The sequence below is a fragment of the Homo sapiens genome, chromosome 3 (genome assembly GCF_000001405.40).
Source record: "Homo sapiens chromosome 3, GRCh38.p14 Primary Assembly".
NCBI classification, from domain to species: domain Eukaryota; kingdom Metazoa; phylum Chordata; class Mammalia; order Primates; family Hominidae; genus Homo; species Homo sapiens.
In genome coordinates, this window is record NC_000003.12 from 158,903,841 (window position 1) to 158,920,033 (window position 16,193).

The 16,193-nt window shown below is 40.9% G+C and overlaps 1 annotated feature.

Annotated features, from left to right (window-relative positions):
- Window positions 14,235-14,284: a silencer, noted in NCBI's record as "silent region_14849". NCBI's record gives its function as "represses an Ori minimal core promoter by ATAC-STARR-seq in GM12878 lymphoblastoid cells {active_cell/tissue: GM12878}" and the evidence as "EXISTENCE:reporter gene assay evidence [ECO:0000049][PMID:35858748]".

The window sequence follows — 16,193 nt, forward strand, 5'->3', positions numbered from 1 at the left end:
ACAATTTGTAAACATGTGGGTGTGTGTGTATTAATTCCTACATTAATAATACCATACCATACATTGCTTTGCTCCTTACTCTTTGTTTGTTTAATATATCTTGGAGACTATTTCTTATCTGTACATGTAATGCTATTTCATTTTTTAACGGCTTCATATTATTTCATTATATGAATAAACTGGAATTTATTTACTAGTTATCTATTTGTGGACATTTAGATTGTTTGTAATCTTTTGCTCCTATAAAATGTTTCAGTAAATATCCATATACAGGCCAGGCACAGTGGCTCACACCTGTAATCCCAGCACTTTGGGAGGTCAAGGTGGGTGGATCACCTGAGGTCAGGAATTTGAGACCAGCCTGGCCAACATGGTGAAACCCCATCTCTACAAAAATACAAAAATTAGCTGGGCCTGGTGGCGGGTGCCTGTAATCCCAGCTACTTGGGAGGCTTAGGCGGGAGAATCGCTTGAACCTGGGAGGCGGAGGTTGCAGTGAGCCGAGACTGTGCCACTGCACTCCAGCCTGGGCAACAGAGTGAGACTCCGCCTTAAAAAAAAAAAAAGATCTTTATACAAATATCTTACATATAAAGTGAAACTGCAGAGTCAAAGTGTATGCACACTTTACATTTTGATAACAATTGTCTTTCATTTATGTTGCATCAATTTATAATCTAACTGGTTATGTATAAAATTCCTTTCTTTTTATACTGTCTTCAAAACTCTGTGTTTTAAAATATTTTGATCTTTGCCTACCTAACAGGTTAAATTGCATCTCATTAGAGTTTTAATTGGTGTTTCTCTGAATGTAAATGAGGTTGCACATCTTTCTGTGTTCAAGAGAAATTCGTTATTTTTTAGTAAGAAACCTGTTCATCTTCTTTGCTCCTTTTCCTATTGGTTTGTTGGCTTTTTTTTCTTATTGTTTGTAGGACTTCTTTATTTATTAGATAAATCAATTATTTGTCTGGAATATGAGTTGCAAATATGATTTTGTAATTTGTTAATTTTTTTACTACTCAGAAATTTTAAATATTGGTGAAATTTATTGCTCTTTTCTTGTTTTTCCTGGATTTTGTGTCATACTTAGACCATTCTGACTCAGATTAAAAACAAGATTAATCTTGTTTTCTTCTATGCTTTTATGGTTTGATATTTCAGACTTTTATCTTTAATCCAGTTGGAAGTATAATAAAAAAAAAGAAAAGCTCAGAAACAACTAAGTAATACAAATTCAGCATTAATTAATAGTACTATTTCTATAGTATAAGTTAATCACTATCAATAAATTAATATGGAAAAGTTAAAAAAAAAGTGTGAAGTAATGACCCTATGTTCTTGTTTTTCCCACTGGCTGGCCAATCGGTAGTCTCACCATGCAGTACTTTTAAAGATGGATTTAGAGTAGTCTGAGAAGTTTTATAGCAGTGAGATCAGGCAGAAAGGAGCTCTCAGGGATCCCAGTGATAAATTCCAACACTTTCGTTTGCCTATACTGCTTTTATCTCTCTCCCTGCTCCCACCTGGGTTGCTCTTGATTTTTGTTGTTTTATCTAATCCCTGGGTGTTATCTAATCCCAGAATGGTCTCCCACCTCCCAGGGGAATTGGATTAGCCTTTCTGCTTCCTGTTGGAAGAAAGGAATAAGCAGGTACATAGCATGCATATGTCTATGTGATAAGACCCTTGACAAGCTGGACTAAGCTGTGAGGTACATATGAGGCCAGGTGGTCTGCATTATCTGACATTCAAGCTCCTTGGGCTTTTGAAGAGTGGTTAACTTGCCAGTGAGGTCACAGAGATTCTCATTAAGATTGCGGACTCCATGTATTTTTAAAATAATTCTGCTGTTTACCTAAACAGCTATTTATTGGAGGATATTGTTTAGAAGTTGGTGTAAAATATACTTAATGAATATGCTTATATCTCTGTGGGTAAGCATGTTATTTGTTGATATAATTTGGCTGTGTCCCAACCCAAATCTCACCTTGAATTGTAATAATCTCCACGTGTCAAGGGAAGGGCCAGGTGGAGATAATTGAATCATGGGGGCAGTTTCCCCCATACTGTTCTCATGGTAGTGAATAAGTCTCACGAGATCTGATGGCTTTATAAATGGGAGATCCCCTGCACAAGCTTTCTTGCCTGCCTGCCGCCAGGTAAGACATGTCTTTGCTCTTCTGTTGTCTTCTGCCATGATTGTGAGGCATCCCCAGCCATGTGGAACGGTGAGTCAATTAAGCATCTTTCGTTTATAAATTACCCTATCTCAGGTATGTCTTTATTAGCAGTGTGAGAATGGACTAATACATTTGTCAATACATATAACTTATTTATGGATTTCCTATTCTTTGCGTAGTCTTTAGTCAATAGGGACTCTGAAGGCTGACCTCATTTCTCCAGTGGCTGCAGCTTTTCCAGGAAGGCAAAAATGATTTATTTGGAAAAAAGCTTGGCAAAAAGCGTGGTATTGAGAAAGCTAATGCCAGCACCAGGCTTAGTTTCCTCTTCTTTTCTCTTGACCACACTCCCTCCCACCTCCTTCAGCATTCCCTCAGTCTCTCATTTCCCTACACCTGGGGCCCTCAAACCTCCTCCCCTTCATAGCTTCTGTCAAGAATTCAGTGTATAAACACACTCAGGTCCCCCATATATACAAAATGAGCCAACACCTCTCAGCCATTTCAATCTCCCTTTGAACTAATATCTAAATCTTTCATCCCTCTTCTTTCTGAAATTCTTGAAAGAATAGTTTATTCTTTCACTTGCTCATTCCTCAACCTTCTGATGTCTGGGCTCACCCCTATCATACCATTAATGTGACTATTGTTTGGGGGCAGCAATGCCACCCTTTAGTTGCCAGAGCCAGTGAAGATTGTCTAGATGCTATATTCACGATAGAGCACTCTCCACTGGACTTGTGCATTAGGTACTGCTCATCACCTTCTTCCTTCCAATTATCACAATATCCTCCTTTCCTCTAGTCTATCTCCCTCTCAAAGGTGAGCTCCTCTTCCCACTGCTTAAGCATCAAGCAGTCCCCAGGATTCTGGCTTCAGGCCTTGTTTTGATTGCTTCACATGATATCCACACATGATATGATGTGGATGACATCATGCACCTGTTGGGTACCAACTGTCGTATCTATCATTATATCCCAGTAGACTTTACCCTGAACCCTAGATTTGAAAATCCAGCCAACTGATGGTGGTCCCAAAGGCCTTCAAACACAGATGAGGACTGGGCTCAGCATCTATATTCTATATTGCCCCCTCTTCTTCTTCCTCTATTCTGCATCTAATTCAACAGCATCACTTTTCACTCAGTTGCCTAGAAAGGACACCAAACGGGTTCTTACTGCCTGTTCTTTCTTTTACCCTTACATTCAATGAAGTACCAGCTTCTGGAAATTTTGCCTCCCATGTCTTTAATTTCTTCTCTCCTCTGCGTTATTCAGGACTTCAGCCATTCTTATCTGGACTACTTTTAATTGGACACTTTGATTCTGGTTAGACCCATTTTTCAAACAGTTAACAAAGGGATCGCTTAAAAATCTGACTACGCCACTTCTTTCCTATTGCTTCGTGTTGCTTGTGGGATAAAGCCAACCTTTTTTGGGTTGCATTACAATACCCTCTTATCTGCTCTGCCTGCTTCTCTGCCCATTTCTTGCTATTCCTTGCCTGGTTCTTCTTTCACATTCCACAATGCAAAACAGCTGTAGTTCTCATCTGACCTCTTTGTTCAGTCTGTGCCCTCAGTCCATCCTCCCTTTATCTTTCATGAAGTGATGATTACTCTCCTGTAATACAGCTCAGGCATCATCCCTGGGGAAAGTCTCCCCTGAGGGCTCCCCATTCTATTTAGGTAGCCTTCTTGAGAGATTCAAGATACTCAGTGCCTATCTCTATCATTTCTCTTATCCTACTCTTTATTTCTTCTAAATAATTAGTATTTAAGCATCTTACCCCCTACTCTGGGCTTAGGGCAAGGATAAATACTGTGTTCTTATATTTCCTATGCTGGACTCAGAGCTTAGCACATGTTCTAACTCAGGGCTTGTTGAATTAATCTTGAATGACTGGTTGAAATTTAATGACTATTTGTACATAGATAAGCATGGCATTGTTGACTCAGAAAACATCCCAGGAAACACTTTTTATTAAACCAGATATAAATACAAATTCACATTTTTTTCTCAGGTTTATCAAGAATCTAGAGCAGAGATCCTAAGAAAACTACACTTCTCTGCCTTTCCAGTTTTCCTGTGGTCAGATTTTTTTTTAACTTGGTGTCTCTTGGGTATTGTTGAACATACTTGTATTCTCTTATTGTGATGCTACTGAAAGATATAGATTGAGGAGGATGGCGATTTTAGTAAATGTAGGAGTAAATATTGAAATGATTTCTTTAAAATCTGCTTTCAAGGCTGTTTGAAGCCATTTTTATAAAAAAGTTAGCCAGTTAAAAAATACTCAGAAGACATAGCTTACTCCAGTACCAGATGGTATTAATTGAAGGGATATTTCAATTGTGGTACCTTGCCATGAATTTCTCTGTGGAGCAATTATTCTACAGACCAGCACAGCTCTTGAATTAGTGTTACTAGTAGAGTCTTTTAAAAAACTGTTTACTGACTGACACCATAATAACAGCACTGCATGCCTGATGTGATATACGGTTTTGATTGTTGTTCCATATTACTGGAAGACTTCATCCACAATCAATCATCAAAGCAGTCAACTGCATTAGGAAATGAGGGCAAGCTTTTGTTCAGTAATGCATTTGATAAGTTTAATCTTCTAAACCTGGAACTAGGTAATGATATGGATAGTCTGTGTTCAAATGGAAAATAATTTATTGAGATTTTTGGCATGCAATTTCACCCCTGCTGGTCTAGAAACTCATTACAAGGTGAAAAGTGATTGCTAATCAAGATTTCCAGGCTATATTCCTTCCCTGGTAAGTCTTATCCCTCTGACTCCTGACATTTTATCCTAATTTTCAGCTGATATCAGCATGTAGCATGTCTTACCGTAAGTAATAAAATATTAGGGAGGTTTATGTGACATTTTGAAATATTAGGGAATAGTCATAAATTATGTAAAATGATTTTCCTTTATTTGGATTTTCTAATCATGATGTGTCTGAAATGGGGAATGTTTGAATCTGAGGAATTACACCATTAAAATGGCCCATTATCTGGAATCTCATCTTCTCATTGGTCTATAAAAGCTTGAAAGGTGCCTTATGCCTATTCCCTAGTTCTCCATTCCTAGATCTCTGCAGGGTTAGAGCTAGTAGGGATGGCATCGTGGTTGGGGCCAATGGGGCATTCGTAACTGGTATGAACTATTTCTAGGGCATTGAGAAATATGGGGGAGTGGAAATGGCCGAAATGGGATTTAGAGTGGAACCATATGGGAAAAATGTTACATGTGTTTTCACTCTTAATTATTTCACAACCACAATTAAACAAAAATTGCAATGTGCTGTTTGGTTTTGATACTTAAGTCCATTAAAATGAAATTAATAATAGTTAATCCATATTCTGAGAAAATAATGGCATTTATACTTCTGTGTAGTTTGCAAAAATACAACTTTTATTAATATCTTAAACATGCAGATTATAGAATGTTCATAGAAGTTAAGATATAGAATATCTTAAACTTTGCAGATTATAGAATGTGAGTATTCATTGTATTTGGAGGTTTTTTTGGTTTTGTTTTTATAACTAGGTATTAGTAAAATCTTAAACAATATTAAACTAAATATTGGGTGGGTGGTGTACTTTCCTAATACATTAACTGTGTACCAAAATGTGTATAAATCATCTTTTTGTGCCATCAGAGATAGTTGCTATTTAAAGGAGTTTTTGGTGAAGGCTTTTGTAAAACAAATTCTCATCCCCTAATCAGAATGTTTATGTGCTGAGTTTGGTTAAAGAAATGCATGCAGTTATATGTAAAGTTTAAATGGAATTTTAGAACTCAACAGAAAGCCTTTCTGGATCGTGGAAACTTTTCCCAGTGAAGTTATTTTGCTTTCTTAATGAGATTTTATAGCACAAGGGGTGTGTGTGTGTGTGTGTGTGTATGTATGTGTGTGTGTGAAGTTGAGCCTATTTAGATGAGAACATGGGAGGAGACTCCTCCGCTGACAGCACTTTTTCCCCTTTAGCCCTCCAGGCCCAAGCTGTGGGTCTTTTGGCACACAGAGGCTGAGACTGCCTGTGTGTTGAGTGGAGCCCAGTCAGACAAAATATGGGCCTGTGACTCACTGGGATTCTCCCTCTACATCCAGGAGCTGAACTTTCAATTTGGGCTGCTGCTTGTTGAAATGTGAAGTCATGAAGTGTTCAGGACGTTTTTATTTTTTAAATTAGTGATGTTTGTTTCATCTCCCACAGAGAGAAGTGTGGGTCAAAAAGTCAAAACTTCGTCCGACTTAAGGTGCTCGTTGCCATGTAACTCTGATCAGCACTTTCCTTGGTCTCATACACTTTCTTAAAACACGTTAATTTCATTTGGATTTCTGGCTCAAAATTGTAACTGAAAAGAAACAAATCCACTTTTAAATGTTTGAGAAACAAGGGAGCTCAAACTACAGCATGAACAAAAATGGCTCTCACAAGGAGCCCGCCAACAATTCTGCGAGGCTTTTATTGCATTAGTAGGTGGCTGATTCTATCTCATTTGACATTTGGTGCAATACCATTGTGATGCAGGACAGGTGGGCCCCAAAGTGGGACCTAGCCTGCCAGGGTTCTTGGCTTCCCCAGAGAAAGAATTCAAAAGCAAGCCAGTGGTAGGGTAGAAGAAAACAGCTTAATTGAAGTGGCAATGTTACAGCTCCAGCAGTGTGGCACTGCTGTGCTTTTCCTGCAGAGCATAGGCAGAGAATACCCCATAGGCAGTAAATTTATACCTACTTTTGATTGTATGAGATTAGCAGCTAGTTTATTGCAGAAATTTCTGGGAAAAGCGTAGTAACTTCTGGGTCATCAGGTTATTGCCATGGAAAGCGGGGATAGCTCCTGAGTGTTGCCATAGCAATGGTAAATTGACATGGCACACTGGTGGGCATGTCTTATGGAAAGCTGCTTCCACAAGGCCCTATTGTAGCTAGTCCGCAATTTGTTCTGGTGTCTGTACCCTACCTCTGGAGTTGAATTCTGCCTCTTACCTCATTCTCCTCTTAGATGAGATACTCCTCCTTAATCTTAAAGGGGCTGCAAAAGGGCAGAGGTCTGTCTTCTGATTACTTCCTGCCGAGTTTATGGGCATGGGCACTGCCTAGCACCAGAGGAGTAAATATCTCCGGGTACCTGACCTAAGGGGCCCAGAGGCAGGACAGTTTTATTCTTTGGGTCAGCAGGTGGGATGGGTTGGAAGCCTTGTGCCAGCATTGTCTTTACCTGGAACTGCTGTAATCCAGAAGATACAAAACTTTAATAAGACGTTAAACAAACTAGGGTCAAAAATTAGTAACAAGAAGATTGCTATCAAAGGTCCTAGGAGAGGTAAAACCCAAGTAAGACTTGGAAAGGCACTTTTGATAGTCAACCAGTTTTAGTTGCGGTCAGTGCCCTTGCTGTATCTACATAACCAGGTAGATTGCTCATAAATCTTTGAGTGTTAATTTCAACTTGTCCAGAGTTGTTAATATATGAGCAGCAGGTTTTATTAATAACTGCACAGACTCCACCTTATTCAGCTAGTAAATTATCCAAAGCTAGTCTCTTGTCAAGGACTACATTTGCTAAAGAGTCCGGGGACTTTTAAATTCCCTTTAATTCCTGGCCTGTTTTAAGGAACATGGATGCGCTGCAGCCAGGCAGGCATAGGCTGAGGTAAATATCCTGTGTGACTTGGTGGGATTGGAGCACAGGTGCACAATTCTGTGTCTTGTATAATCATAGCTATGTCAACATAACAGACTCATCACCTGGCTCTCAGCCACTATTGTTTGTGAGGTGTATAAATGCAGCACTGACACCGTGAAAGAGCTGAATAAAGCCATGTCTCATCTACCTGCTGTCGCGAGTGTTCTTCCAGCTCCCTGCCCCCTTGTTCACCCACTCCTCTCGGACCTCAGCTGGGGTTCAAACCTGACACCAGTGTTGGTGGCTAAGGATTCTAGGGTTTGAGTTAAATTCTTTAGGGTTAACTCATGGTAGGCAAGGTTGCCCCAGGGTGCTGCTAGTCCTTTCGCTGCCCTGATTCCTGCCAGAATTAACCCTATTGCTTGTTTACTTCTGGTATTCCTGTGTCTTAAGGGGTTATAGACAGTGACCCCTGGAGGGGCTAGGGTAACCAATGTAATTCACCTCTATTCCAAGTTTTTTGACATACAAGGGAAAGCTGTTCCTAAAGAAGAGGTGACTCCCTGGGGAGTCAGGAGTTATGAGGTGTGACTTCTTCCCATTCATGGCCACAAACAAAAATGAGCCCAATTGGGGCACAAACAGAGGCCCTCTGGGGTGTGATGTTTATTCTTTCCTGTCAAGTTGGGTCTATAGAGATATTTTCCCCCCGATCCCATGGAGATGGTCAGACAATCTTTGTTTTCCAGAAGGGGGCAGTAGTCCCACCTTCACAGACAAGGCAGTTGTTTTTCTCTTGCGTGATCTAGGAGAAGGCATCACATATGGTCTCCTTGCTTAAAAATGGAATCCCTTTTACCTCGCTGTGGCCTTGGGAGCTTGGCAACTAGAGTTGGATCAGAGCATAGCAGGGAAACTTTTACTTTTTAGATATCCAACTTCCCAGGTCCAGGTAACAGTGGTGGGCAGACTCAGGTGGAATTTGTTAAGTAGGGGAGCGTTCCACTTAACAAGTAGGAGTCTGGGTATTTGGGGATCCCTATGGTTAGTTAAGAGGTCTGGGGAGATGGTCGTGAGATTTTCTGGATAAGTCAGAAGGTAGAACTCTGTCGTGAGAATGTTGATGACAAATCCAGCAACCACAAAGATGATTCCCTGATGTTATAGTTGTTGAAATATTTACTATGGAGTTACGTTCCCACCCATGCTGAATCAGGGTAACAGGGAGAGCAAATGGGATTAACAGTGACAGCGTGGTGTCCGGTTTGGACCTTAGAGTGGCCTCTACACCCAACAAGGACAAAAATGTTTCCTAGGAGGTTGGCTAAAGTAACAGAAAAGAAGTATTATAATCAGCTAGAAGAGAAAAATTAAGCTCGTATTCCCACCCACAACATCACATTACCACTTGTAGCTGAGTGTTGATTCTTTTAAGTAGGTAGCAGAGAGCCTCCAAAGGCTCACAGATGTAGACCATAGTGTCCTCTTGTGCCTGTGATTCATAAAAAACCGCTTTAATCCTGGGCAGGTGTGCCCAGTAGTTATTCCCTGAAGTCTATCAGCTGTGGGGGTACTCAACAACACCGGATAGTGGCCCCTCCATTTTGGTTGTATTGATCTTCAGGGGATCCTTCTTTCCAAGTTTTTAGCAGGACTAAGTCTCCTGGTTGAATGGGGGATTCAATATTTCTCTGGTGGGAGGGGGCGATATTTTATTTCCATAGGCTTGGAGGGCCTTTTGAACCTGGCCTAAGTCGATAATATGGGTGAGCTTTCTATGTGTCCCCTCATCAAGCAGGAGATCTGAATTTAAAAAGGGCCTTCCCTAAGTCATCTCAAATGGACTAAGTTTTAGAGTTCCCTTTGGGGCCATCCTTACATATTGTCTGGGGGATCCCTGAGCTGTTAGGAGTCCCCTTTCTTTCCATATAGCAGCATGAGCATGGGGTACCAGGAACCCCTATTTGGAGTCAGTAAATACATTGACTCTTAAGTCTTTTCCCAATTGGAGGTCCCTAATTAAAGCAGGCCGTTCTGCTTTTTGAGCGGGAGTTTAGGGTGGCAAAGCTTTTGCCTCAATGACCTCTTTTGGATAACTACCACATAACCTGTGTTTCTTACTCCATCATGCACAAAGCTATTCCCATCTGTAAACCATTCAACATGGAGATTAGTCAGGGGCTCATCTTTGAGGACAGGCCTGCTCTTGTAGGTCTGTTCAATGGTTTCCACACAGCAATGAGTAAGTTGGGGATCTGTTTTCTGGGATGTGAAGTCCAGAAACAGGGTAGCAGAGATTAAAACTTGACACACTTTAAGAGTAATATCTGGGGTATGAAACAGAAGGATCTGATATTTAAGTAAGTAACCTCCTGTCACTGCCATTAGTGTCCTTTTGCATCTAGAACCTCCTGTACTTGGTGAAGGGTGATGACATGTAATTGTTGTCCCAAGGTAAACTTCCTGGCTTCTTCTACCAATAGAGCAGTGGTGACCGCAGTTTGCAAGCATCCTGGCCACCCAGCTGCCACCTTGTCTAGCTGTTTAGAAAAGTAAGCCACTGTTCTAGGGCTAGTCCTGACCCTTTGGGTTAGGACACCCCAAGCCATCCCTTGTTTATCAGCCACAGAAAAGATGAAAAGTTTTTCTAAATTAGGGAATCCCAAAGCAGGAACTGTTCCTAGTTTTTCTTTTAGGATTAAGGATGATTGTTGGCAGGTTCTATCCAAATTCAAAAGCTCATGATCACTTCCTTTCAGAGCTTCATAGAGTGGTTTTGCTATAAGCCCAAAGTTGGGAATCCAAATCTGGCAAAATCTGGCCATTCCCAAAATGGCTTTTAACTATCTTGGTCTGAGAGGGCTAGAGTGCCAAGATGGCCTTGGGGTGGAATCCTGCACTAGAGAACTGGTGAGGCCCCTCCCTTAGACTAACGGATTAAAGAGTCTCTGAAGGTCGGGGGCACAGGCCTCCTAGGGGGAGCAGTTAGGAGGGGGCCATCTAGAATACGTGGTGCAGCTTCTGGGTGCCTGGGAGTATCATGAGCCAGACACACTCTACAGTTAGCCCTTAGGTTAGGATCCTGGTGGCAGGCCATAAAAGCCTGCACATAAGAAACTTCCTCCCATTTTGCTTGCTTTTTACAAAGCAAATATAATTGTACAATATTATTGTAATGTAAAAAACCATGCCTAGGCAAAATCTGTTGGCTTGCCAATTTGTAGTGAACCCAAACATTACTGCAATAGTAAATGAGTTTTTTTCTTTTTCAATTTGTCTAACTTAAATTTGTTCCAAATGTCTAAAAGCCTAGTGGTGAGTCCCTCGGGATGCTTGCTGTTGTCCCCATGTCTAGTAAAGATTTCTACACGGGGTTTCGGTTAGCCTAAGTTTAGCAAATGCTTAGTTACTTCTCCCTTTTAATTTCCCACTTCCTACAAAATACAGATAATAAGGTGCTATGAAAGTGGATTGTGCACTACAAATGAGCAGTTGGAGGTTGAGCCTAAATTCCACAGAAAGAGAGGGTTATGCAGAGAGGGGCTAAACAAATGGCGACTGTGGAAGGGAGGAAGGGAGGAAGGTGGGTAAACAGCATCGCCTAAGGGGAAACCTTGGAAGCATTGACTTGTGGGAGAACTTACCCAGCAGCGGAGACACTAAAAAAATGTTTAGGTGGTCATTCATCTACCACTGTAGGTGGCTGTCTATCAGGCCAGGGGCCTGGAAACGCCCGGTTCCTTTGACCAAGAGAGGCTTGAACAAGGCAGTATTAAGTCAGCCACAAGAAAGGGCTTGCAACGGGATTATTATTAGGAAAATAATAACTTCTAACTTCAGGGTAGAAAAAGGGAAGAGCAATATTCCTCTAGGGGGACCACAATCTTAGAGGAAATGTCAGTGCTAAATACCTCAGAGCATCTAGGTGCTGGCTAAAATAACGCTGAAAACCCAGAGTGCCCAAGTTTCAACGAATGAGGGTCCCCCTACTCCAAATGTGAAGACCCCTGGGGCACCCAGGGTGGGGTTGGCCAACAGTGAACCCAAAACGAAGCTGGGGTCACTGAACAATATGACTCTGGCATCTCAGGGTCAACACAGTAGGGGATCTCTCACAACCAAGTGCCCTGCCTTTAACAACTGCCCAAACACAAAGTCCAAAGCAAACAAAAGACTGCAAACAAAACATACATCGTAGAACTAAAATAGCATGACTGGTGGAACAATAAAATGGAGTCAGAGGAGAACTGGGAGAGGGATGATGGGGACGTGCTTCAGGGCACCCAAACTGTGCAGGACTTTCGACTGACCAATTAGCCAAAGGCTTTTATTTTGTTTCCTAGCTCTCCCGATATTATGGGGACCATGGGGGAGAGAGGATACTCACCCATCCGCAGGAACCAAAATGGCACTGACTGATCTTCCACATGGGACCCAGTTGAATGTCTCTCCAGATTTCCTCACCTTGGGTGGGCTTGGCTGTCACACAGGATGTCTGGTGCAAATGCTGGTAACCTATTGAGCTGTTGGTTAGAGCAGCGAGTCTCACATGAGGCAGCAGCACTATGGTCACTTGCCCATCCACTCAGCTCTGTTGCCTGCCAGGGAAAGTGATGGCTCTGAAAAGAGCCTTTGGCTATTAGTACAGCTCTATAGTATTAGCTATTTATTGTTACAGCCTTTGTGTTATAGCTCTTGCAGCCTCTATCACAGACTGCTTTGCTGTCTCTTGCCATCTCTGCTTGTTGTCTCACTGATCGGTCTCTTGCTGTCTCTCACGGTCTCTTGCTGTATTCTTGCTGTCTTTGCTGACTGCCATCTCCTCATCTCTCGCATTCTATGGCTCACTGTCTTCAACCCTTTGTTAATCACCGAATGATGGAGGGCAGCTGAGCCTCAAAACTGGGGCTTAGCCTAGGAGGGTTCTTGTATTTTCCCAGGAAAGAATTCAAAGGCAAGCCAGTAGTGTTATACAGCAACTTTTATTGAACTGGCAGTGTACAGCAGCATCAGAGGTTCTGCTCCTTGTGGAACAGGGTTGCTCTGGGCACACTGCCTGTTGGGTAGCCCTTGAATTCCTTCCTGGGTGAAGCTGAGAACTCTCTCAGGCTAATCTCTAATTTTGGGGCTCACCTGCCTTGCATCAGTTGCATCTATGGCAGGCTGTGCTGACCCCATATGAGGCTCCATTGCTAGAGTTGCTTTCTGGGTAGGGTCATGAATGGCCTTGTCCTGAACTCCCTTACCTGATCTTCTTATGGCCACATTTGAGGATGTTGCTAGAGTTTGGGGAAAAAAACAAAAAACAGTTGTGTATGATTCTTCATCTCATGGAGATGAGAGAGCCACGGATACACAGGTACTAGTGTGTGTGTGTGTGTGTGTGTGTATACATGCATGCATCAGTGTGTGTAAAACTACAAATATTCTGTTGCCTTAGGATAAAACAATATGACTTACTTAATACTAAGTTTCAGTATTATGATTTATAAAACAGTAGAAAGAAAAAAGTGCTGTGACAAAATAGTGCACAATTTAAACAAGAAGAAAATACATTTTAAAGGTAATGTAAACCTCTTTCAATGGACTTTGCCAGGTGGTGTACAGGACAGTGACCTAGGGCCCCAGCTCCTCAGGGCAAGCATAGCAGGCTGTGTGCAGAGTACCTAGGTGTTCTTTCTGAATGATGTCTTTCCTGTATAATTTCAGGTGGAATGAGGAATGACCTCATGTTAATGAATAGCAGTTTGATTATTGGTGAGGAAATTTTCTCTTTAGAATGAGAATTATTGTTCTGGGTTTGGAGTTCATGTATGGAACTCAGGGGTTTCTGACTCTTGAAATTATATTGAAATGTTTGGAGGTACTTGTATGTATGTGTTTTTTTCACAGATAGGTTTGTATATGTGTACATTTTTCTAGGGATAGGTTCTGTAATTTTTCTCAAGTTCTCAAAGGGGCATGTGAACACTCCTACACTGGTTGTACAATCATGTCTTAAATGATTTAGGGTTTTAGGTCTTAGGGGTGGTGGATTGAATTATTGTTCTAAAGTATTCACTGTGCCTCCACATTGGCACTTTCCTGGAGAAAGATTAGAGTCCCACCCCACTGATGTTGAGCTTGGCCATGTCACTTGCTTTGATTGTTAAAATGAGTGGCTATGACACATGACACTCCTGAGCAAAAGCTTTAACAGCCATTGTTTGATTCTACCATCACTCTTTTACTTCTGCCATGTGACTGACATGTCCCAAAGAGGAGCTGCATCTACTTTCTTGACTGAGAATGAAGAACTGGAGCTGAAGTTGACTCTGGAATATCTCACGCTAGTAAGAAATAGACCATATTGTTGCAAGCCACTGAGATTTGGGGGTTCTTTGCTGCTGGCAACATATCTTGGCATGAGCCGACTGCTCCAGTAGGTGGCAGCCTGGGTTACATTCAGAATCTTACAGGACACCACTGGAAGGCCCTGGTGTGATCAGCTTCCTGCGGTTTAGTCCATTAATGAGTGACACATTTTTCCTGTGGATTCTGTGTGTTGCTTCAAGGTTTCCCCATGGAGACAGAAATAAGATATTAGTCCTGTGGGGTTCATCTGTTGAAACTCAGAGGCCATTTTTTCAGGTTCAGAGTGCTTCTCTAGCAGAAGGGAGCCACTCCATGCCTGTTTCTTCCCTCTGCCCTGTGGCTAAGTGTGTGTAGGAAAAAAATCACTGATACGAGGAGGTGTCTGAAGTCAGGAACAACTCTTTGAAGCATGACACAAACCACCTAACGCAATAGTATGAACATATTGAAAAATTATGGGGTGCATATCATTTGTGCTGCAAAGTATACTATAGATTTATTTTCTAAAATGCTCCCTTACTCTAGGAATGACAAGGATGAAGAATAGGTGTTACCACAGTAGGGCACAATGAAAGGCCACCCAAGTGAGAAAACAGATTTCATAGGTGACTCATAAACAAAGTACTACCTTCAGGAAAATAAAGAAGCCATCCATTACCCAAACAAAATGCGTAATAAGGACAAGTGCTTCATCACCTCATGTTTGACGGCTAGAAGTCAGAACTTTCATAAGGGAAACACTGCAAAATCTCATTCTTTAGTCAGAATGGGCTGCTCCTGAATCAAAGAACTATTCTGTCATTGGAGAGATTTGACTTATTCCATACCCCCAGATTCTTAACTACTGCCACCATTAAGTGGTTTTAATTTTTAATAATTTTATTGCTTTTAAAAAAATCTGCACTAAGTTAATTATCCCTATTAACTTAAAATGGGGAAGGTTACTGGCCAGCTCATAAAAGATCTGCCCTGAAACCTTTTACCCAATGGAAAATAATTATAGGAAACCATATTGCTATGTTATTAATACTCCAAGTGGGATAATTTCCTAACCCAGTACGGTACATCTAAGAAAATGTTCAACTTTTCATCATAGCTTGTAAGACTTTATTATTTCATTTATGGCATTTATTCATTTAAGGCTTATTTATTGCCTGTTTTCTATTTGCCAGGTACTGTTCTTGGTGTTGGCTCAGCAAAGACTCCACCCTCGAGGTGGTCACATTCTAATGAGGGAAGGCAGAAATTAAGTACTAACAACAAAGATAAATAAATGTGGAATATGTCAGGTGGTGATAAATACTCTGGAAATGATAAAGCAGAGTAAGGTGAGGTAGAGAATTATGGGCAGAGATATTATTTTATACAGGATCATCAGGGCAGTTCTCATTGATTGAGGGCATTTATGAAAGTCCTGAGTGAAGTGAGGCAATGGCCATGTAAAGATCAGTTGGAAGAGTGAGGAATTGGATTTACGTCTCATTTTACTCATAGTCCTGCAAAGTTGTATGTAAATTGAATTTTAAGCATATTATGAAAGCTTATTATAACTTTTTTGGTAGTGAATCTTTCTCTAAAATGAAGATACCATTGGCAAAATAAACAATTATGCCCTCAAAGTAATCTGCATTGTAAGTGCAAGTTTCTACACATTGAATTCACTTTAAGAAGGCTACACATGTTCAGGGTACGATGTTATCAATGAATAATGGATATGAAGAAGAGTTTTGAGTTAGTGAAAAGTCTTAGGTATAGATTTTTATTTTTAAAAAAGACTTACTATTTAAAAGTATGTCTAATTATAAACAAATTAACAGTGTTGCATAGTTGAGGCTCTTAGAATACCTCTTCGAATAACCAGAATGCTTTATGATTAACATATGCAAATCACATAAATACATGCTTTCAAAATGTCTGAGAGTTCTTAAAAATGATTTCTGTAGTTAGGTTAGCATTATCTTCGTACTCTTATTTACCCTGAGGATATGCTGGAAACACACATTTTTCAAAA